At 40.3% G+C, this 25,317-nt stretch overlaps 1 protein-coding gene and 1 pseudogene across 65 annotated transcripts in view; both read left to right on the plus strand.

Moving 5' to 3' along the window:
• The window catches only part of LTBP1 (latent transforming growth factor beta binding protein 1), a 452,557-nt gene that overhangs the window by 165,490 nt on the left and 261,750 nt on the right, over positions 1-25,317 (plus strand). For 33 of the 65 annotated variants that reach the window (XM_011532853.3, XM_011532857.3, XM_011532861.3 and 30 more), the window contains exon 5: positions 22,351-22,518. The exons of 5 other annotated variants lie outside the window; for them this stretch is intronic. In XM_011532853.3, the coding sequence (XP_011531155.1) occupies positions 22,351-22,518 (168 nt within the window). Of the gene's footprint in view, positions 1-21,926; positions 22,064-22,153; positions 22,519-25,317 lie in introns of those variants that run through there. 27 more of the 65 variants (NM_000627.4, NM_001394912.1, NM_001166264.2 and 24 more) reach the window with 2 other exon arrangements.
• Positions 4,822-6,664, plus strand: TYW1P1 (tRNA-yW synthesizing protein 1 homolog pseudogene 1; annotated as a pseudogene).

Genomic DNA, 25,317 nt, shown 5'->3' on the forward strand with positions numbered 1-25,317 from the left:
CTACATAGTAAGGAGCTAGTAAAAGAATGTAGACTAATATACATTATCACAGTGGTGGTGTTCTCTGCTCAAACCCCCTAAAAGATGGCTGTTGTTCAGAAAGAAGCTCAGGAATTAACTGAAAGAGTTACGCATGTAGGAAAGACAAGAAGGGAGATGTGGCTATTTTTGCTGAGGCCAGAGCTCTACTGAGAGCTGGAGGGCTAGTTGGAAAGTTTTTAAAAGAGATAATTTGGCAGGACCATGAAGGATACTGAAATGGCAAAATGGAGTAAGAACCACAAAAGATGATTAAAACTGGAAAGGAGGTACAGGTAGTAGGAGGGACCTAAACATACTGTCTCTGCATACTCCTGTTCTGTGGTAGGTAAAAGAGGAGGCTCCAAAGAAGCCTTACATGGAACAGAAAGGAAGGAACAGTTAGTCAGAGAAGTCTGAGGAAAAGCAGAAGCTTTTATAGCATCTTCATTTTTATATTTACAGAAGAGATCAAATGCAAACATTAATTTTTTATTGTGCTGAAAGATTTGAAGGTCAAACAGAAGCTGATAGCTCTGATTCTTTAGAAAAATAGAAGATACTAAGATCATTTGAGCATGATGTATCTTGGAGTGAAATTGAAGAAGTGAGGTATGTCATTGTAGTCCACTGCCATTACTTTTGAGAAGCTATGGGAACTAGAGAAGCGGTTGAAAACTAGAGGTTGGCAATAACAAGTGTTATCTTCTCCCTTTAAAAGTGATTAAAAAGGGGGTCTACAGTAATGACCAGTTGGTATGTTTAATATTGATATATTACAAGAGCAATAATAATAATGCATACCTTGAGCTCTAAGCACTGTGCAACTCTTAGCTCATAATAGGAGACAGTAGTCTACAAGCCCAAGGGAATAAGGATTTGCTCTCGACACTTGGTAAGAGAAAAAGAACAATTGTTTTGAATAAGCAGGAAAGAGATGAGGATGGAGGTGATGGATTTAGTAGAGTAAAATACATTAATGTGTCAAACGCAGCACTCTCCAGATAAAACATTGTAGATAGAGAGAAACTAACCAAGTTGCTAGTGAGGTGCTTTCTTTTGGGAGGGATGACTATTTTATGGGATTTTCCCACAGTTTTGATAATACAATTCACCATCCCTGTCCAATGTGTACACACTACTTTTCCTAATTTGATTCTGTATATTTACCAGTCTTCTTAGTCACTTTCTAGGTAACTTGACATCCTATGTTGGGTGTTCTCTGGTCATTGGTAAAGGATATCTCTTTTTTTTCCCAGCTTCTTTTCAAAGTTCATCCGTGTTGTAGCATGTATCAGTATCTTATTCCTTTTTATGGCTGAGTAATACTCCCACATTGTATAGAGATATGTATCTCAGTTTGTTTATCCATTCATCAGTTGATGGACATTTGGGGTTGTTCCCACTCTCTTGGCTATTATGAATAATGGAGTGCAGTGGCATGATCTCAGCTCACCACAACCTCTGCCTCCCAGGCTCAAGTGATTCTCCTGCCTCAGCCTTCTGGGTAGCTGGGATTACAGGTGTGTGCCACTACTGCCCAGCTAGTTTTTGTATTTTTAGTAGAGATAGGGTTTCACCATGTTGGCCAGGCTAGTCTCGAACTCCTGACCTCAAGTGATCCGCCCACTTTGGCCTTGCCAAGTGCTGGGATTACAGGTGTGAGCCACCATGCCCAGCCGGTAAAGGATATCTCTAGTGATAAATTAATAACTTGTGGTGTTCTGCTTTATTTGTTGGCCTTAAAAGAATTTAATTTGCATCCGTATCATCTAGAGTAGGGATTGGCAAACTTTTAGGGAGTACTTTAGACTTTGTTAGCCAATAGGCAAATCAAGGATCTTAGGTAGATATTTATATAGCTATTTAACATGTATCTATTAAACGTGTAAATATCCTTCTTACCTCTCAGGTTGTAGATCAGGTGGCTGGATTTGGCTCATGGGCTATAGTTTGCCAATTCTTGATCTAGAGACTCACAGTCTCTCAATCCACTGAAAACATCTAGATATCGGACCTGATTGTTTGGTGCCTGGAACGTGACAAAAGCAGCCCAAGAGGCCCTGCTTCTAGCAGCTGTCCTTCATTCTCAGTGTCCCCACCAACCCACCCTCCAGAGCATGACAATTCTCGGATACATTTCCACTTAGTTTGAAGGCACCCAGAAAAGCATGAACTACCAGGAAGCTGCTTGTGTTAGATAAGTCTAGTTTCTTTTAATTTTAGAATAATGGGCCACACAGCAATTGGGAAAGGAATGGGATGTTACTCCTGGTTGCTTATAGAAAACCTTTTGATATTGGTGGAAATATTTTTATGGGATGAAGCAGTCCCAGCCATATCACAACACAGTATCACATTAAGATACTGCATGAGTTTCTCAAAAAAGTTAAATATAGAGTTATCATATAACCCAGCAATTCCACACCTAGCTATATATCCAAAAGAATTGAAAACATATGTTTGCACAAAAACTTGTACATGAATGTTCATAGCAACATTATTTGTAATAGCCAAGAGAGTGGGAACAACCCCAAATGTCCATCAACTGATGAAGGGATAAACAAACAGATATATACACACACACACACACACACACACACACACACACACGTATACACAAATATATATACACACATATATGTACACACACACACACATATATATACACACACACACACAATGTAGGAGTATTACTCAGCCATAAAAAGGAATAAGATTGATACATGCTACAACATGGATGAACTGTGAAAACAAGCCAAGTGAAAGATTCCAGACACAAAAGAATCCAGACTACATGCTATATGAGTCCATTTCTATAAGATGTCCAGAGTAGGCAAATCCACAGACACGGAAAGAAGATTAGCGGTTGCCAGGGACAGGGGAGAGTGGGAATAGGGAATAGTTATTTATAGGTAAGAGGTTTCTTTTGGGGTGATGAAAATGTTCTGGAATTAGGTGGTCATGCTGGTTGCACAACCTGAAAACACTAAAAATAAAAAAACTGAATTATACACTTAAGGGTGAATTCTGTGGCATGTGAATCATATCTCAATTTAAAATAACAAATATTTATGAAAAATTATTGCCAAGTAGGTAGTTATGAGACTCAGTTTCAGCTCCAAGGAATTGAGCTCATAAGCTCTCAGAAGTCTAGGGATGGTGTGGGGTAGGGGTGGGGGTCTGCTTTATACAGTGTTTTCATTGGTGACTTGTAGGAAAGAATTCAGCATGTAAACCAAATTCTATTGTGTTTAGTTTAGTAATTTTTTTTAACCCAGAGGAAGAAAATGGAAATGACATAACATTTGGAAGACCATCTTATAAAAATGGTCAGTCAAGATTAGAATAGCACATGTTCAGGAGCAAACCCAAGTAACTCAGACAAAAAGAGATTAGTTTGACATAACCTGCTAGAAAAAGTCCTTGAGGGTATAATAAGTGTCTACATCATACTATGTGCTGACGTAGTAAAAATGATATGGAATGCTTTATAATATTAAAGCCAGCAAATAATATTTTAAGTACAGTCTATGGTGGAAAGAGGTGTATTTATCATCAGGGTTATAAGACACCAAAGGACTTACTAAGATAGATTGTAGAGCTACTTATAAAGGAGATCTTTAGGATGAGCAGCAATGGCCATGTAACTGACATGGTTCCCTAGACGACTGGTTTCCAGACTGTGCAAAGAAGAACTAAAAGATTAGCGAAGCTCCAATTTAAGCATTTGCCTCCTTAGTCCCTTTTTCTACTACATAACTTTAATATTTGGAACGATTTAGAAATCTGAACTTCTCTAAATTGGATTTCTCATTGCTAATTCCAGTTGTCGTTCTCTCAAGATGGGCTTAGGTTTTAAATAGGTTACTTATATTTCAAAGTCATCTAAAGTTTTAGTTCTTTAAATTCAACAAGGCAGAAATTTTACGTTTTAGGCATGGCAGATGTCATGTTTTATACAGTAACTTCTTAAAGGTCTTTAAACAGATATAGCTCTGGCTCTTAAAAAAATGTACCAATTTATCTCCTGATGTGCTAACGTGGGGGAGAAAGAGAGAGAGAAATGACTGGCATTTGCAAACACATAATACTGTTAAATTGCAAAAAAAGAAAAGTAAGGACAAGCCCACTGTTTACTTAAAGTGTAAACAATTTCAGGAAAGGCAGATGTCATGTTTTATATGGTAACTTCTTAAAAATCTTTAAACAGATATAACTCAGGCTCTTAAAAAAATTGTCTAGTTGTCATCTGATGTACTAACATGGGGGAGAGAGAGAGAGAAATGACTGGCATTTCCAAACACACAGTACCATTAAATTGCAAAAAAAAAAAAGGAAAGGAAAAGTGAGGTCAAGCCCACTTTTTACTTAAAGTGTTAAACCTAACCTTTTTTGTTTAAATAAGCAACCGTAGAAGTGAAGAAGCACGCACAGGGTCCCTATTAAGTGACTTCTGACAGAAGAAAATGTAATTCCCACCTGCAGTGGCACCACAGGAGACATCTTAGCCCTGAGTTCTGGTCTGTGCTGCCCTCTCTCAGTCTTTGCAACAGGCTGGGGCAGCTTGACTCCCAGCCATCAATCACGGGCTGACTGAAATCTGGCACCTCCATTTGCAGATAGAACAGCTCCCCAGGTCTCCTGAGCTCTGGTCTGAGACAGATGTAGAGTCTGTTGTTTTCATAGTAGCAGCTTTGTGGCCTGAACTCCTGAATCCCAGTTCTGGCCTGATCGCAGTCCATAGTTCCACACTAAGAGAAGTACGGCTGCTTTGGACACACGAGGCCTCTTCTTTCTAACTTTTATTAATACTATGGTTGAATGTCTTGCTTGTAGCGTTAGCCTTCAGGCTTCAGTTCAGGCTGACATCGAGAAGCACGGCAAGTCACGGAAACATCTCAGGGTTTGATGGTAAATGCTTATGTCTCCCCTTGAAAAAGGAAGTTCACATGTCTGGAGCGAAGAGTCTTTACGGTTGCAGTCTGATACCACAAAGAGGTTACCCGTAAGATTGTCTGGGTCTTCCTGGTTGCCCTGAGTGAGAGAGCAGAGTGCTTTGGCAGAGACTTACAAGAGACATTCAAGATTTTTGCTCTGTCAAAACAAAGCTGAATGTTAGGAGATAGGCAATATTTAACACGGACAGGTCTGCTTATGCCAGCCACTTCAGGGAGGTGGGCAAGAACGTTGCTTAAAGGCTCTGGATGCCTAGTGCCAGTTACAGAATGCTCATGGGAGGTGTCCCTGGCGTAGTTGAGAGCACCCATTATGGGATGGATGCTGCAAAAGACGGGAAAATCCTTGGGGTGGCAACTGGATAAAGGCAGATATAGTAAGTGTAGATGAGGGGAATTGGAGCAACATTCTTACACATGGGATGAATTGCAATCTGGAGATCTTCAGAGGAGGAGCCATTTGAAAATGCTGTTGAGGAAGAGTCTGGTCCTGAGAACTGTTGTGGCCTTAATGTCGATGTTGAAGTTTAGGATATGGATGGTATCACACTCATGTGAAGAGAGAACAGAAGCAGCAGCAGGAGAAATCCAGGGTTTGGGCAGCTCTGCTCCTCTGAGACATCCTCGCTGATAGGTCCTGACAGATTGGGAGCCTTACAGGGCAGAGCTTTGCAGATGGACCAAGTGGGTCCATGGGAGAGAAGACTTCCAGAGAACATGTTTGCAGCATTGAAAGCCCTCCCTACATGGAGACTACCTTTAACTTGTGTGCAAAAAAAAAAAAACAAAAAAAAAACAACAAAAAAAACTGTCTTTGGGATTGGCTTACACCAACCCAGTGGGTACTAAAAGGCAGTGGAAGTTGGACCAGCCATGAATGACCTTACAAGAGCTGATGAAAACCAGCAAAAACTGCTTAAGCATTTAAGAGGAATATTAGGTGTGAAAACAAACTGTTTTAAAGAAGGAATAATGATAAAGCTTTGTGCTTTTTCCTTGCAAAATCAGCGAGTTCCTTAAGCTCCTTGTCCCATGCTCAATTCTGTATGGGAATCGGGAACCTTGAGCCAGTTTCCCAACTGTATGATCATGTGGATGTTAGTACTAAAGATTCCTGAAAGAAAGGCGTCTGCTTTTCAATGATTTCTGGCAAAGTTTTTGGTTTGAAAGCCTAGACAGTAAAACTACATTATAACCATGTACAGACTGACACCTGAGAAGGCATTCTGGTGAATGTGGATGAACAGGGTTCTGCTGAGCTGGTATCCTTGGGAATCCAGATTTCATTCAAGGACAGGATATGATCTATTGCAAAGAAAAGTTCATGAGCAGTCTTGCCATGCACGTTATCCTGGGTTAGGGCGTGGAGGGGAGGATGGTATATCTGAGAGCTATTTGATAACATTCCAGTTCAGGGAAGCCGTACGAACATGATTATTCTCTTTGCCCCCTGATAGGCCACACGAAGTTTAAGATAGCTGTGAAACAGTAGATATGGATTGGTTATAAATATTTCCAAGAAACTTACCCAGCAATATGAAAACAGCAAAGAAGAAAAACCTTCTAGGGTGAAGGATCATGTAGTTTAAATTCCTCGATGAGCAGCCTTCACTACCAGATAAAGGTTTTAGTTATAAGGGCCCAAGAGTTTATAAGAAACAAGCAAATTCAAGGACATTTCTGGGTGTTGAGACTGATTTTAAGAAATCAATACTGTATGGCTCCAGAATATTCTGGAGTCAGACTGATTTTTTTTTTCCCTAGGGAAAGGTAATACAAATGAATTTATTGTTTGCATGTGGGGAAACTGTAAAGCAAAGAAAAAGAAAAGAGATGGTGCCTCCTCAGCCTTAGGATACCTTTGCCAGAAATTGAGGGTTTTAGTTGATTTTACTTCTGGATTGGGAAAGAATTTTGAGGAAATTAATCATTATTAGAACAGAAATGGTAGCTTTGATTCAAAATAAAATAGGCCCACGCAAAATACTGCTCATGAGATGTTTCCCAGGGACTTAAAGTAGAATGCTTTGTCTTCTCATGAATTAGATTCCTTATAGAAGAGTCCCCTTAATGTTGAAAATGACTGCATTGGAGTAAGTCCATCCCCACTTTGACATAAGGATCCATAAATACCTTTCTTTCTTTCTTTTATTTTTGAGATGGAGTCTCGCACTGTCACCCAGGCTGGAGTGGAGTGGTGCGATCTTGGCTTACTGCAAGCTCCGCCTCCCGGGTTCATGCCATTCTTCTGCCTCAGCTTCCCGAGTAGGCTGGGACTACAGGCGCCTGCCACCACGCCTGGCTAATTTTTTTGTATTTTTAGTAGAGGCGGGGTTTCACCATATTAGCCAGGATGGTCTTGATCTCCCGACCTCGTGATCCTCCCGCCTTGGCCTCCCAAAGTGCTGGGATTATAGACGAGAGCACTGCGCCTGGCCTGTAAATACCTTTCTTATATTTTATATGTGACATTTCTTAAAAAGGGCTTTGTGTTATTTTCTGTGATTTTAGTTCTGCATTGTTTGTTTTTGAATATCTCCTGAATATTAACCCTACTCTGGCTGCCCTAATTTCTTTTCATTCCCATACAAAGGAAGTAGAAGTTAATACATGACTGGAGAACAACTTTCTTTCCTAAGAGGTAGTTGCAGTATGGTTATATTAATTCTTCTGACAAGCAAACTTTAAATCAAGAAATACGTACATGTATATATGTATGATGGCTGTGTGTATATATACACACATATATTCAATCAAGTATATATGTGTGTATTTTTTTAACTTTTAGGTTTAGGGGTACATGTGAAAGTTTGTTACATAGGTAAACACGTGTCACGGGGTTTCGTTGTACAGATTATTTCATCACCCAGGTATTAAGCCCAGTACCGTAGTTATCTTTTCTGCCCTTCTCCCTCCTTTTACCCTCCCACTTAAAGTAGACCCCAGGGTCTGTTGTTCCCTTCTTTGTGTTCATAAGTTCTTATCATTTAGCTCCCACTTACAAGTGTGAGAACATGTGGTATTCGGTTTTCTGTTCCTGCATAGTTTGCTAAGGATAATAGCCTCCAGCTCCATATATGTTTCTGCAGAAGACATGATCTCATTCTTTTTTATGGCTGCATAGTATTTCATGGCATATATGTACCATATTTTCTTTATCCAGTCTGTTATTGATGAGCATTTAGGGTGATTCCATGTCTTTGCTATCGTGAATAGTGCTGCAATGAACATTCATTCACGTGCATGTGTCTTTAAGGTAGAACGATTTATATTCCTCTGGGTATATATCCAGTAATGGGATTGCTGGGTTGAATGGTAGTTCTGCTTTTAGCTCTTTGAGGAATTGCCAAACTGCTTTCCACAATGATTGAACTAATTTATACTCCCACCAGCAGTGTTGTATGTGTATTTTTTAAAGTAATTTTTTTCGCAATTAAACATCATCTTTATTAAGCAAAGTACTATGCTATTAAAAGACTACAAAACTTCATTAGTACGTGGTTGACTACTCAGACTTACATGCAGTTTCTTAATATTTAGCATGGTATGCAAGTCAGGAAAAATAATTCCCAAATCTCTCCCTGAGTAAATATAATTCGCATGGAGCTAACTTTGGTGATTATCATCGTTATTTCTCATTAGATCCACTTTCTGACCACTTAAATACATTTTCCTTTAGTTCTGTTGGAAAACTTTCTAATTAGTCTGATTTTCTTCAGTGGAAATAAATTTTGTAAAGTCTTTTTTTTTTTTTTTTTTTTTTTTAGTTTCTTACATTATCCATACAGGAAGATCCATTAAGAAAAAGTCTTGTAGCCCAAACTGCACTTCACAAGTTTGCTTTTCCAAGGTTCTAGCTTTTTTTCTTACTGAATGAAAATATTTTAAATATGCAGTGTTTTGTGAAAAACATCATAATTACTTGTAAGTCCTTGTATCCTATAAACAGATTTAGAAAGCTTTGGCGAGAGAAAGAAAAGCATCCGGAGAGCAGGTGAAAGGGCGGTGGTCGTTCCTGTGTTGATGGTATCTGGGCTTCTTGTGTGGGATTGAGTGCTCTTCCCTAACGAGGCCTGGAAGCACAGGCACCCACCAGCTGGGCTCCTTGTTTAACCAACACCCCTTAATGGCTACAGGTGCATCTCATGAGTGCAACTGCTTCACTCAGATCCAGCAGAAACCAAGAGCTCTTCCTCCCACGCTTTCAGCTTACATTCCATGGAGGAGCTGGCTGGAGCGCGCATCTGCTTTACTTTAGAAGGTTACGGCGTAATCCTCCCCCAAACAAAATCTTTTGATTTATATTTTTGCCTTTATTCGTCAGTCAAAAATACTGTACTGACCTTTTGTGATTCGGTTAGGTACATGCTTTCTGGTCCAAAGAGTTTTTTTTTGTTGTTGTTTTGGTTTTGGTAACTGTAGAAATTTAATGAAAAGCACTTTCGTTAGTCTTTATAGGAGAGAGAAGGTGGTGGATATAGTTTTGTTAAGAATGATTCTCTCACCAATTTGACTTTCTCCCCTAACATTTTATTCATCCGAGAATAAATAATAAACATGGTAAATCGTATAATATATGCATAGTTCTTTCTAGTTCTTCCCCCCACCCTGCCCCCCTCCACACACACATCTTGTCATGGCTTCCTGTGGGTATAGTGGATTTTGCGTGTCCCCTTGACTCTGGGCTTGGCCATGTGACTTGCTTTGACCAATCGAGTGTGGGTGGAACGAGTCTATGGGTTCGGAGCGGGAGCTTCGTTCGAGAGGAATTGCGTATTTCCTCTCTTCCTTCTTCTACCATGAAAAAGGCAATGCCTCTGGTCTGCTGACCTGCCAACTCCCTTGAAATGTGTTGTTTTTCCTAGATTACCATTTCAGCAGGGCAGATTTACTTTTTAAAACAATCTGGACAAATCAATCATTAGTCTTAGAACAGATGATAACTATTGTAATCAGACAGGTTACCTTTTGGTAAAAGTGATACTATGGGTGACCTCACCTTCTGGCCACAGTGGACTGGAAAGCGGGTGGGCAGTTGACTCAAAACCAATCTGAGGCTGGCCAGCTGCCTGTAAGGTGGCCTGGCAGAGGCACTTTCCCAAACAGGGATGATGTTGACGAAATTAGATTAATCAGAATCTCTCTTAAGGAATTCCTAAGTTAGAATTGAACAGTAAGTATCTGGAACAGACGTATAATACCAAAAAGAAACAGAAGTAGCCAATCCTACCACGTTAATGTTGGGTACAAGAATGAAGTTCAACAGCATTTCTGAAGGGGAGTAGGGATGGGGCAGCATATAGTGGGGTTGCTACAAGTGCTGTGGATTCTGAACATCTTTTCAGTTACTGAACTGTGTCTTAGCCTCCATGAGGTTTGGCTTATATGGCCAGCTGGTTCTGCGTTCTGGGTTCTCTTGAGACGTCTATCTCCTTCTTGCTGTACACAACCGCAGTTGAACATCCTGTTGCTTGAGATAATGTGCACCCCCTTGTTTTGTAGGCAAGAGACCTCAGCTAATACAAGTTCTATTTCTACTCTGCTCTCTAACAGCTGCATGTCCTGATTACACAAAGCACCAAAGCTTGACTTCTAGAGAGGGAAAACCCAGCTGCTCAACTTTTCCTCACTCTCTTTATAGCTTTTCCTCACTCCCTTTATAGCTCTTAGTCCTGTCCACATTCCCTCTTTCCACATAGAAAGAGGAGTGGGTGGGTCAGTTCCATCAGTTCCCTGAGACCCCTGCAACACTTGGAGAATTGTTCTGCCTGGCCTGCGGGTTACTAGGACCTGATGGTATTGCTGTATTCATGTCTAAGCTTCCACTGGAATTTTTAACAGAAACATTCTCAGGTCTGGGGGATTCTTGCCCACATGGAATGGAGAATGTTCACCTTCAGTCAGTGAGTGTGGATTGGGAAACCTTTTCAGTAAGATTCCTGGAATCCTATCATGCCTCCTGTTCATTCATCTTTTTTTTTTTTGGTATGGGTTTTCTGGCAACCACAATGCAGTATGTGTGTAAGTACATAGCAGGCATGCTCTGCCATGTCTTGAACATGGAAATCTAGCAAAATTAGATGCCTCTCTTTGAAAGGGTTTTTCAAAGACTATTAATGGAGAAAGTGATTCATGGTGTTTCTTGTCAGAGATCCCAGTTTCCAAACCACATCTTAATATACCTTAAGAACATATACTCTGAGCAAGAAAATACAAACAGATGTGCTGAAGGCATTGTGAATTGTATTCTTGTTATCAAAGATCAGGTAGTTAGGAAATTTGGACATAGGCTTCTTTGTCCCAGCAAAGACATGAGGTAAGTTCCACCCTCCTCCTCCTCATCTATTTAGCACTTTCTGCATGCCAACCATGGTACTAAGCACTTTATATGCATTAATTAAGTATGTTACATTATAATACTTGTATATTACTTGATTACTACTTAAAATGCATTCCTTAAGTTAGGAACCAAAAATTGAATTTAAAATTACAGAAATCAATCTTATTCATTGAAAAAAAGTACCACTTTAGCTCTTTGTGTAAGTTATCTTTAGGCAAGTGCAAAGTCAAGATTTGACTATATTTTAGATATTTTAAAATTGTATTATATTTTAGACTTTTAACACAATAACATGTTTTAAAAATTTGTTATGTGACTATAGAGCTGCTAACAAGAGGTGTTTAGCTTAACAAAAATTACTCAAATGCGGCCAGGTACGGTGGCTCACGCCTGTAATCCAGGCACTTTAGGAGGCCAAGGCGGGCAGATCACTTCAGGTCAGGAGTTCAAGACCAGCCTGGCTGACATGGTGAAACCCCCGTCTCTACTAAAAATACAAAAATTAGCCGGGCATGGTGCTACATGTCTGTAATCCCAGCTACTTGGGAGGCTGAGGCAGGAGAATCACTTGAACCCAGAAGGCGGAGGTTGCAGTGAGCCAAGATTGTGCCACTGCACTCCAGCTTGGGTGATAGAACAAGACTCCGTCTCAAAAAAAAAAAAATTATTCAAATGCAGAGTAAACCTTTCTAATCAGTGGGTTCCTACAGCTGGTTGATGTTCATTATGATACCTGTCAAACAAAGTCAAACAATCAGGTTGTATGTGGAAATTATGGTGGAACCAAAGTCCACAGTAGAATCTTGCTTTATTCTAGAGTCTTTAATAATAGTTATGATCTGAAAGCAAACATCTTAAGATGAGAATTTTCCTAGATTTAGAAGTGGTTATAGATTTTGCTGTGTAGTATATCATGGTTTAAATGTCACTACTGGTTTGAGCTTTTCTAACAGTTGCTCCAGTTAAAACTGACCATGTGTAAGTATTTTTTCTTTGATTTGCATAGAGTTTTACAGCCTATAAATTATATCCATACAAATTATTTCACATGGCCCCTGCCACAGTCTTGTGAGGTAGATAGGTTGGATGGCGTTATTCTGAGTGTGTTTTTAGGCGCTCTGGATTTCAACATCCTAAAGGGTAGAACCTGTGGGTGGTTTTGTATTCTTTCCCTTTGAACTTCTTATTATCAGTTTCTTTGTCTTCCAGATAAAGATCTTAAGACTTGTTCTGTAGGAGTGTTGTGAGAATGAAGTGAGATGAAGTCTATATAAGATATCTCGCATACTGCAGAACACATCACATAGGTGCTCAATCTATGCTTGTTTCTCTCTCCCTCATCCTAATTTCCCAAGCGTATAGCATTCACATTCCTAAGTGTCATATATTTTTCATAGTAATGCTCATTACAAGTGTAGGAGAGGCATTGGGGCGTATCGAGGAAAGAAAGAACAAGGGCTTGCATTAAAATCCCAGCTTCACTGTTCCCTAGCAGAATGACCGTGGTCAAGCTTCTGGTGAACATCTCTGGTTTCCTTGCTGGCAGAATGGATATGACTGCAGCTTACATGATTGTCATGTGTATTTGCTCTCTGCAGCCTAGTAGGCACTCAGTCCTTGTCTCTCGAGTCTGCCATTCATGTATACGGTGCTTTTGTGCATTTAGTATCGTCCATAATTTCTGTTGTTCTCAGAATTTGGGCCAAAAAAAAGCAGAAGGGAAGAAGAACATGTTATGTGTGTGTATGTTTATGTTAGTTATCAGTTGCTGCATAAAAAATTACTCCAAACTGGCCGGGCACGGTGGCTCACGCTTGTAATCCCAGGACTTTGGGAGGCTGAGGCGGGTGGATCACGAGGTCAGGACTTCGAGACCAGCCTGGCCAATGTAGTGAAACCCCATCTCTACTAAAAATACAAAAATTAGCTGGGCGTGGTGCAGGTGCCTGTAGTCCCAGCTGCTCGGGAGGCTGAGGCAGGAGAATCAGTTGAACCCGGGAGGTGGAGGTTGCAGTGAGCCGAGATGGTGCTACTGCACTCCAGCCTGGGCAACAGAGCAAGACTCCGTCTCAAAAAAAAAAAAAAAATTACTCCAAACTGTAGTGATTTAAAGCCACAAACATTACCTTAGAGTTTCTGTGGTTCAGGAATTTAGAGGGACCTCAGTTGGTTGGTTCTGGCTCAGTTTCTTTCATGAAATTGCAACCAGGGTATCAGTAAGAGCTGCAGTTATCTGAAGGCTTGACTGGGCCTAGAAGATACTTTCAAGGTGGTTCACTCATGTGACTGTTGGCAGGAGATTTCAGTTCTTTGCCCCATGAGTGAGTGTCTCCTTAGACTGCTTGAGTATTCCCGTAGCATGGGAGTTGGCTTCCCCGAGAGTGAGTGATCCAACAGAGACAGACCACGACAGAAGCCACAGTGTCTTTTATGATGTAGTCTCTGAAGTTGCAAAGCATCATTCCATTTTTTTCTGTTATTTATTTATTTTTTAGAAACAGGGTCTTGCTATATTGCCAGGGTTAGTCTCGATCTCCTGAACTCAAGCAATCCTCCCCCTCAGCCTCCCAAAGTGCAGGGATTACAGGCATTAGCCACCATATCTGGTTTGTTCTTAGACAAGATTCACAAAAACCAGCCCATGTCCAAGGGGAGATTAGACTTTTAGATTTCACCTCTTAAAGATAGAAGTATCAGGGAATTTGTGGACATATTTTAAAACCATCACAGTGTTCAACAGAAGGGGCACTCTTTTGATGAGAGTCAAAGGAAATGAGGAAGCTGAAAATGGGCAACCTAAAAAGAATTAGCTGACAGCTGGAAAACTTAGAGTGTACAACTATACATCAGTAATTTTTTTATTGGCAACTAATTGTTTTTCAATTTTATTTATCACATAATATTGGAGCATAGCTAGCTATATATGATGATTTTGGGAAAAGGATATTGAGGCTGAAATCTTTCCTAATGATGAGATCTATTGAGTTTGGCCGTAGTCCCATAGGGGGAGTAGTTGGGGCCATTGGATGCAGTCATTTAAAAACTGAGCCAGAGAGAAGTTTGTATTGGAAAAAAAAAATGAAGTAAATGACAGAATCAGTATTCTGCAAGCTTGGATTCTCTGAGACTCTAATTTTAAATTAATTTAGAGATTTTAAAATGCCAATTTTCTATACAACTAAGTGCTTCAACAGATTTTTGTCTCCATTGAATCCATGAAACTTGAGAGTTGTTTTGGCCATTGCAAAAATGTTCATATCTTTGACTTCCTTGGTGCTTCTTAAAATATAATGCATTCAAGTTATAATTTTATTTTTGTTTGCTCTGGATTTTTATTGCTTGTGTGAAAGAATTGGAATCCCTTAGAGGCACATCAAGACATCTACTTCTGGCCTGGCAGCTCCAGTGACTCAGAATGTGTGTTCAGAGCCCAGGAGGTTTTGGTTTTCTTCTCTGCCTTGTCTTTTGACTCTTTTTTTTTCTTTTATGCAGAATTTAAATTTCGTGAAGTGTAATAAGTCATTTCCTTCACTATGTCTGCCTCGGTGTCGGAAGAAAATTCCCAAGCCCTCTTTATGAAGATGGTAGAAGCCTGAGGCATTCAACTCCTTTAAAGTTTTGTGACTTCCAGCTATCAGTTGTTTGAGTAAAAGTCATTTCTCTGCCTTTCACATTGTCTGCCCTTCCTGTTGCTTTCCCTTCCCATTGTCCATCTTCCCATGGATTCTCAGCCTCAGTTCATACCAGGCCTCTTCATTTCCAACCCCCGTATTCCATTCCCATGACACTCCCCTCTTACCACATTCTCTCTTCCAGTCCTAAAAAGAGAATCACCAGGTGGGACATTTGTTATAGATAGAAAAGGAGGATAAGAATATAGACTATTTTCTTTGGCCTGACTGAGGCCAAAGGAAGGTGGGAAAAGTGGAGAAATATCCATAGACGTGTCTGCAAAGAGTCAAGAGACAATGGAGGGTTGAAACATTTGGTTGTGCCTAGGTCAGTGAAAATCATGGAGGGAAGGAGTATTTTAGTTGAGTCAAAAGGGTGGAATGTGGGGAAGAAGAGGAAAAGGTTTTTAGGGAAAGGAAACTGCATGAGTGAGGTGTCTGAGTGGGGACCTGTGGACAGCGTGGCTTGGCTCAGGCCCTGGCTTTACATGGAGATGTGGTGGGAGGCGAGGCTAGGTTGGACCTAGGTAGGAAAGGGGCTTACTTTCCCTTAAGGGAGTTTGATTTTGTCAGAAATATTTGTCATAACAATGATATAGGATCCTAATTTTCAAAGTGTGTGGTAGAGATAATTTGGGACCCTCGAGAGGAATGGCCCCCTGTTTAGCTTGTGAGTAAGCCATCAAATGTGTTCCTTGGTAAACAAATAGCCCAGTAGATATCTATCATTTAGTCAGACATGCTTCTCCACATACAGATAGGTGTTATTTATAGAAATGGTCAAATGCCTCCATTTACTTGCTCTTTGAAAGACAACAAATGTGGGGATAAATAAAACCTAACTGTGTTCCAAAATTAAGGGACAGAAAATTTGAGTCATGTGAAGCATATGTAACCCACTGTGGTTATAAAGAGCCTATGCAAATTAGGCAGATTGCATGCGTAGTAGAGATGGAAGACAGGTAAGTGTGTTGATTGCTCTGCTCCTTATTCTGTTTACAGAGAGCAGTGAAGTCAGTCTTCTTGTCAGTTGCACATCTGCACATCCGGGTCCTCCAGCCACATGGCCATGGTGTGGAATTTAAAGCTGTGCTGCTGCGAAGACTGGCATAGAATCTTTGAGGGAGGTAGCTATTTTTCATTTCTGAAAAAATGTATCTTTTAAATGGCTTTCCCCCTTGGGAGACAGACTCTTAGAGTAACATCTTGAACTGTGATGCCCTTCACTCTCTCTAGTTCCCAAAAACCCAGGGCAAACTCATTGAACCCTCAACAAGTATGGCTCCCATGATTGTCAGGATTCTAGATTGTGGCTGTGGATTACATTCTCAATTCAGAATTAGGAGATTGGGTACATTGAGCTCTTGCTCCCCCTTTCTTTTTTCCTCCTTTTTATGAACGGATTCAAGACCTTTCTTCTTGGAGGATGTGTTTCTTCAACTCTCAGTCACAGCATTTCAAATACTACTATCCCTTCTGGATGGGGCAATGCTGGTAGGTTCTCTTAACATTCAGAATTAGGAACAGAGAAGGGATTGCCAGATGTGTTCTAGATGAGGGATTTCCAGATGTGTTCTAGACAGGTGAGTTTTAAAAGTCATTTTGAAAGAGACACCTGGAACAGCCTGGAACAGAGACACCTGGAAGGAGACACCTGGAACAGCCTGGTATGGTTCTGGAGCCAATGATGGGGAAAAAAAAGTACAGTTGGTAATAAAAGTGGAGAACGAGCAAAAACAAATCCATGGCTTTTTGACATGTTCATGGTCTGTCCTTTTTTGTAAAATATTTTTCTTTAACATTATAGATCCTGAAGGGGTTCAACTGTCCAGGCATACTTCTTCAGTTTAGGGATGCGGAACACCCAGAAAAGTTCAGGACAGGCTCCGGACTGCAGTCCAGGGCAGAGGCGACAGCACTTGCTGTCGGCATTCCAGTAACCAGAGGCAGCAACAGGGCACACACCTCAGTTCTAGTGGACCCAGAACCACACCAGACTGTCCCACGGTGTCTCTTTCAAAAATTAAATATCTTACACAGATTTTATCTATAAAGTTAGAAGTTTCCATCATGTGTCAAGATGATTCTTGCATAATATGTTGTGAAATTTTAGTAGCAAGTAATTTTCTGTTTTTCTTTTCAAAAGTACTTGAGAAATTGCTATTTCCTATTGCTTATTCAGTTATTCTCTTTAACATATTTAATTAAAAATGGTTTTACTTTTAAAAAATATTATTGGCTATTTTTTCGGGTAAATTTTTAGGGGAAAAATGTCTTTTGTAAAGATGGCAAGGTTTCCAACCCGTAATGACTTATGCTTTTTCTTGATCTGAGACTTAGATTTCTATCACTGTTGTAGCAATTGTTTCTCTCTGCCTCTTTCTTTAGTTACTCCTGCCTCAGTAACTCAAGAGATGGAGCTGAAAGATTACTCTGGATTCTTACCTGTGGAACTGCCCACATCAGTACTAGTGATCTCATCTGAGTTTCCTTCTTGGAGGGTTTTCCAGGACTGGGGCTGCCTGGTGAAGTAATAGATTTGATATTAATTTTTATTTACATAGCACCTTTCTTGAGGAACACAGAGCAGTCTATGGGCATTATTTTAATAGTCCAGGAGGAGTTAAGCAAGCCTGGAGAGCTGAACAATAAAGTCCTGTTATTCTAAGCATTATTTAATATTTTTATGATTTGTCCTTCAAAGAATTCTTGGCCTTCGGGTAAGCGATGGACTGCAAGTGGGAGAATGAACTGTTAGCTCAGTCTCTCTCACACCCTGAAGAGTGTACACGTGACTTGTGTATTGAATCAGCCTGTAGGTCTCTTTAAACCGGGTGGTGGCTTTAAACCACAGAGAGGTTGCTTCTTCCCAGAGGATATTGCCTGTGCTGGTTGGTCCCCATTGTTTAAGTTGGATGCACGCTAATGTGCTGTTGCGGCATTCTGGACGAATGCTGAGGAGACTGTATTTGTTCATGACATCTGATGTGAGTCTTGAACTTGTTACATTTATTTCTCTGCTTTTGGTCACATCTTGGTCTGATGACCAAACAAGGCAACTGTGCCCTTTTCTAGACTGATGTCTGTTTGTCAAGCACAGTTTTCACATTTTTATATTTTTCTCTATTGTTAACAACCCCGAAGCAGAAATGAAAGCTTTTTATCACGGGAGGAGGGGTATCGGCTTCACTTCCATCCCATTCACCATTCACTCTGAATATCTGTGGTTTGTTTTAAACCGAGTGCCAGTGCCTCTTCTTGGAGGTATAAATTTGCACAGGGTCTGGCAGACGCTGCAGACAGGATGTTGACTCTTGAGTGTCTTGACTGACTAGGAGGCCCAATGGCGGTGCTGCATGGCTCCAGGCAATCTGTGCCTCTAGCCAAGGCCTCCAAAACCCAAAGTTTTAAAGTGCTTGCTTAAGATTTTGGGGGCTGATTCACCTAAAGGGATCTAAAAATTGCATTTTTTTTCCTCCAAAGGACCAAGCACAGAAGTTGTGCCAGTGGTTTCCCTGTTAACTCCTGACTGGCCTGATTTTTGCTTCTCAGACTTATAATTCCTAATCACCTGGTAGGTGCCACTCGGGATGGTCTTCTGCCTCTGGTTAGTCCTGAGCTTGTTTTCTCACTGGTGCAGCAGGACCTTAGACCAAAATGACCTCCAGCATCCTGTGAGTCTTGGATCTCTGTGGGATCCGACAGTCACCCTTGCCCCATGCTTCGGGTTACTTTGTCTATTCCACAATTATTGGGTGCCTACTCTCTGCAAGGCATCAGGAGTCCTTGAATATTACCTTATTCAAGACATGCAAAGAAGATGCTTCTGATAGACCAAATGGCTTTTGCGGGAGAGCTTGTGTCTACTGTTAGTGAATTCCTACTAAATTCTTGAAAGGTGAGTGGTATTGCCTTCAGCGTGTCACATGTGAGGAATTTGAAGCTCAGAGCATGGATCTCTGTTTGATGAACTTTAAAACTTAAACTTTTTACACTATACCCTAAATATGTGGGAATGATTTTCAAGGAGTAGAGATGGGAGAACATATTTTCTAATCCATCCAGCATTTATGGAGATCCTGTTAGAGCTCTGGATAATAATCTAGTGTCAAAAGCAGTAGTGCATTTTCACTACCAATTTTGAGAAGATTGGCATGAAAACCTAAAGCTAATTATAATGAAGAAGTAAGTGCTTCATGGAGATGGGAGGACCCGCTTAGAATACAAGTGTCTGTTTTAGAATTAGATTACTTTATAGCAGAATGCTTGTAAAACACAAGCATTTTTATTTTTATATGAAATAAAATATAGCTTCTGCTTCCAAGAAGATGTGAACATTGTAAAAATCAGAATTAAGTCATATGAAACTGTCTCTGCCTTTTGAAAATCCAGATGATTCCAAGCCAAAAGAAATTTTTTTTTGGCAAAGAAATATAAGAAGTTTTTAATAACAATAGGCCCGGAGAATCTCCAGTGCTTATAAAGTGACTACTGTAGCTGGGAGGTGAAATGGGAATAATGATTAAGTGCTTGCTTTCTTTGGATGTCTCAGTTTGCCTAAGTGAGCATAATTTAGGTGACTGTGTGAGCATCTGTGTGGCAGCTGCTGGTGCTACAAGTTAATGCCAGAGAAGACAAAATAGTTGGCACACGGATTCTAATTTCATGATTGTACCAGGAGCCAGAAAAAGGAGGAGTTTATATTCTTTTGAAGTGGGAAAATGTTGTCTCTTTTTTTCTTGGGTTTCACACACTTGAACACACAAAGTATCCTCAAGATATTTGTAAGCATTTTCCGACAACTTAGATTATAAGCTGATTTGTTTGTGCTACTGTGAAAAAGCAAATCAAACTAGGTGAATTTTCTCTGCTGGTGAAATCAGGATTCTGTTGTTTTTTTTGAATTTCTAAGGTAGACTCCCAGATAACTTTAAAATGTCCTGTAAGCATTTAAAGGAGGGGTTACTGAAGTGTTTAAGTAAAGTTTGATTGGAACACAGCCATGCCCACTCATTTACATATTGTTTTTGACAGGCTGCTTTCCAGCTAAGCGGGTCCACAGAGTTGAATAGGAATAGAGTCCTTTTCGCCTACAATCCTAATATAGTTACAATTTGGCCCTTTGTAGAAAAAGTTTGCTAGCCCTCGATTTAAAGTATTGACTGATAGTAGCATCCTATTGGATGTCATTTTGCAAGGTGCCAGAAGGTCTGCTTGGCCACTAGGACATCTTGCCATTTCAGACAACATGTCTTGATCCTCCAGGGTTAGAACCACCGGTGAAGGAGAAACTGTCCTGGAAAACCATTTGAAAAGAATGGAGGGCTTTCTCCTCCAGAGGAATAATTTTTCTTCTTCTAAGTGAGATGACCAACCCAGCTGATGGGTTCAAGTCCTAATTTTAGCTTTCTTTGATTAAGTGGCATTTATCTCAAAGATAACTTATTTGAAGGGCTGTCATGTGGAAGAGGCATTAGATTGTGAGGCCATGGGGAACCAAATTAGGATTAATGTGTGCAAGTTACTGTGAGGCCAGATTTCAGCTCAATAAAAAATAGTACTTGCTGGGAACTGCCATAACTATCATGTGCTTTTGTGGGTAATGAGCTGCCCGTCACTAGAGATTTTCAAGTAAAGGTTACACGACCACTTGATACGTGGAATGCAAACAGTGGATGAGAGATGGTTGCGTTAGAAAACCTCTGGGGCCCCATTCCAACCCTGAAATTGGAATGGCTTCTTTGGTTAAAGTTCTTTGTTTCCAAGCTCAGCTTATGACCACAGTTTTAATTTGTTGAGGGTCTTATAGAGGCATCTTGGGATGATTTTCTGAAAATATAATATTAGCCAAACCAAAGCAGTATAAAGAGAGACAAGCTTTTCTGGTGGGCAAAGATGGTATAAAAAAGGCTGGCCCAGAGCCTCTCTCCCCTTTGGCCACTCCAGTCATGGAGTGGCGTCAGAAGGGCACTGCTTCTTGACGGCCTTAAAGCCTGACAGATGACTGGCTGTCTTCAGCTACTGCTACCATCTTTGCTTTCTGCCTAGTCTCCTGGAAAGAGGAAGGACCTGGCTAGGGGCCTATCGCAGATGTAGCAATCAAAACAGTGTGTGTCTTGCAATTTGCCAGAGAGTTCAGGTTGCGATCCAGCAGTGAAGGGCAGGTCTGGGTGAAGCAGAACTGCACAGAGACAGTGCAGTTCTGCCGTCATAGCACAAAAGCAGCCATAGACAGTACAGAAATGAATGAGGGTGGCTGTGTTCCAGTAAAGCTTTATTTACAAAAGCAGGCAGCAAGCTGGATTGGGTCCCTGAACTGTAGCTTGCTGACCTCTGATAGAGACGTTGAAAGTTAGAAGTGTGTAGAAAATGCCAGTTTCAATTCTCTCAAGTTTTGGAAAAACTGAACTGAACTGGACTGAAATGGCATGTCCGGAGTCACACCGTGGTTGAGCTGGGATTGTAAACCAGGATATACTTTTAGTCTAGGGCTTATTTTGTGATACCACATAGCCTCGGCTGTGTGGTCAGGTGATAGCATTTCGTTTTTAAGAGAAGGCCACGCTAATGAAAGAAAGCTCCATCCCCAGTGGCTACTCCAGGTGGTCTATGAATAGAGACAGTGAGAGCCCAAGGGTGTTATTTTTAGGGAGGCAACCATTTATCCCTGTGACCTGGCTTACCCCTTTAAAGATGGGCCCCGTTCACAGGAAAACAAAATATATGTTGCCTAAATTCTTATGGAGAAATAGTGCCCTGGAGTTGTGAAAAAGAAATGGGCTCCCGCAGCTGCGTCACAGCATTTGATCACTTCAGCCGAGAGTGCCAGGAGATTTGAGACAGATGTTTTCAGACATGCCGCATGCCTAAAACATTTCCAGGGGTCGGGCTGCAAATAGTGACTTAATAAGTGGAGAAACAGGGAAAGTATGCAAGTTGAGGACACAAGAGTTTATTCACCGCTAGGTGCACGGCCAACCCCTTTGCATTACATCTGCCTGTCAGGGTTGGCTCTTTAATCTGTCGTGCCCTCGGTATTGCTCTTTGTCTGCCCGTGAATAAAGTGCAGCATTGTGGTTAGTAATCCCACTCCAGTGACTCGACTTCAAATGTGGTTTTGGAGTGCATCCCAGAGTTCTGTTTGCTAAGCTTCCTACTCCTGTTTCAGAGACACCACTGAATACAGAGCAGCGAGCACTGAAGGCTTCCCTCTTTCCTTAAACCTGTCGGGTTGTGGGCTCTCTCTTTTCCCCTCTTGCTCCTTTCTTTTCTTTTTTTCTGTTTTTTTAAACCTTCCAAGGCAAGTTCATGGATACTAAGCTGATGTGTTTGTTGTTCTTTTTCTCCCTGCCTCCGCTCCTAGTGAGTAACCACACTGGCCGCATCAAGGTGGTCTTTACTCCGAGCATCTGTAAAGTGACCTGCACCAAGGGCAGCTGTCAGAACAGCTGTGAGAAGGGGAACACCACCACTCTCATTAGTGAGAATGGTCATGCTGCCGACACCCTGACGGCCACGAACTTCCGAGTGGGTGAGTTCCTCCACGGTCCCTAACTGTCCTTACTGAGTCGAGTTTTATGAGATTGTAGCATTTAGACACCCCCTCCATTCACACTGCTGTCTGCTTCAATGGGTGTCTGTCTATGAGTACGAGTATGTTTCTTTCATGGGATCTTTTAAATTGCTTTTGGAATAATTTTTAACCTGATTCTTGGTTTCTTAGGGGAATGGCAACTAGAATATTTTCCCTTATTGCTTAGCATTTACACAGCCATGTGGTAATGGGAATATATATAGTAGAAGAGAAGAGAGTAGGTTTTAGATTTAGACCCTAAGGCATGACTTGTGCTGATAAGCTTCAAATTTTATCAGCCCAGTGATAAGTGGAATTTGTCTTAGATTTGACTCATGTAATAAATTTTGGAAGGTGGTGATGAAATTTGAAGTTTTTACTTCAAAAATAGCCAAGCTCTAAAACAAAACTCCGAGGATTGTCAAAAACCTGTACTTGGTTGTAGAAAAGGATACAGAGTTGCATCTTTTGCCACGTTTCTGCTCCGTCTCACAAGACTGAATATAAATTGATATATAACGTGGATTTGGGGAAGACAGACTGGTAGATTACTCTCAGTACTCCTTTTTTACGTGGATTTGGGGAAGACAGACTGGTAGATTACTCTCAGTACTCCTTTAAGTTAATTTAAATATGAAGTAGTAGTTGCTGTCTGCAAGAAAGCCTTGTTGGTTCATTTTGAATTTTTGTTTTTTACTTTTTTGCAAATGGAGAAAGGATTGTGGTCCACGGAATGCTGTCATGTTGCCATGTTGTCATGCAATACAGTATTTTTGTCGCAGAAAAATGTCTTTTATTATTTTTTGACCAATTATGGTTTGCCATGTGTACTCAAATAATCGCAGACACCCACGTTACTTTCTGAGTTACTCACAAGAATAACCCAAATGTCAGACAGATAATAACACTGGCTAGATCTGGTCTTTTTATGGAATATTGCTGTTTAGTCTTGGAAGTGTGTGTCTGGGGGGGTGGTAGGAGAAGGGGTGTCTGTGTCAAACTGATTTACATCAAGACAAAATAAAGGGACAGCTTGAAGTTCTTATTAGATCTTTGATTATTCTGCTGTTTTATTGTGACTCCCAATCCTTAGGAGGTCAAAGCATATTTTTGATCGTCTGTACTTGGAAAAAATATGTGCCCATAGATACGATTTAAAAGGGCATTGTGAGTTTCCTGGCTATGATAGGGGTACTCTGGGCATAGTTTTTAAAAGAATTTAGCCATTAGGTGCCAAATGGCACATTATGCTTTGCAGGGCAGGGAGCCAAGTCTAATGGGAAGTGAACTGATGATCAGGAAACTGGATTCTGGTCCCGGTCCTGCCACTAACTAGCTAATCCGTAGGGCATGCCAGTTAATATTTCTGGGCCTCAGTTTTTCTCATTCATAAAATAAATGGGATTGTATTTAATGACCTCTAAAATTTAGTCCATCTCTAAGATCATATGACTTTTTATCAGCAATAAGTAATACTATTTTCTGGCTTAAAAAAATTTTTTTTTTTGGAGGGCCACAGACAAGGAGGGGAAAAGAAAAGGCAATTCCAGTAGACTATCATGAGTCTGATGGCTTTTCACCACTTTATCTTTCTTGGTTGCCTTCCTTACTCACTGCTCCTTTCCCTCCTTGTGTTTATTGTAAATCTTTACAGTAGCAATGACAAAATAATCAAATGGGTGGTAATTTTTTGGCTTCCAGTGTATTCATTTTGAAACTAAATATTTTGAAGGCTTTGAGAAACAGAGGAAGTCTACTTGTTGAAACACACCACACACTTTCCTTGCTGGCACTGAACCAGATGTTTAGGAACAGAATATACATAGCCTACTCAAAATGCAAAATGAAGCAAAATTATTTACAAAAGCATTTCAAAAGCAGAACTCCACTCTCCATATAGGATCGGCAGAGCAGTTTAATTTTTTGAAAAGTAGAGGATGGGGTGAGAAGGACCCATAGTAATAAATAGTTTCACATTGGAAATTGTGGGAAACATTTCATTTATATTCTGAGCTATTTCCCTCTCCTGTTTAACGTTTTATTTCAAATATTGGATAGTTTGAGGGACAATTTTTATGATATTTCTTTCTTTAAGAATGGTAATTTTATAGAACTTATAGACTGTGATCCTTTGAAAATACAGAAAAATTCAAAAACGTTTATGCATATATCTTTTTGGGACTTTACTGGTTTAGTGTAATTTTATTATTTGCAAAAAGTGATTTTCTGATTTTTTTCTTCTCTCTTTGTACTTGTTTATAGAATACTAAATCTTTTGACAAAAAAGACCTATTTGGAAAATAGTTTAAAATTTGGGAAAAATTCAAAATTTACTGTCACTTGTCAGCTACTCCCTTTGATCTCTAATATTTGTTGGTACTTAAAGGTGAGGGCTGGCAAACTCTTTTTGTAAAGGGCCAGATAGTATAAAATATGTTTTAGACTTTGTGGGCCATACAGTTTCTGTTACAGCTACTCAACCCTGCCATCATCGTGTGAAAGCAGCCAGAGACAATATGAACAAGAATAGGTGTGGCTGTGTTACAAAAACATTTGTTGGGCTGAATTTGGCTTGAGTGCCATTCTCTAAGGAGTCAACATAATCCAGGGAAAATTATATGGACTTCATAATTAGTTTTGATAATCAGAATAACAGAAATAATTTCCAACATTTGCATGGTGATTTACAGTTTTTGTTTGTTTGTTTGTTTGTTTGTTTGTTTGAGGATGTGGAACAGACATGATCATCACCATTTT

This window comes from Homo sapiens, chromosome 2 (assembly GCF_000001405.40).
Source record: "Homo sapiens chromosome 2, GRCh38.p14 Primary Assembly".
Taxonomy (NCBI): Eukaryota; Metazoa; Chordata; class Mammalia; order Primates; family Hominidae; genus Homo; species Homo sapiens.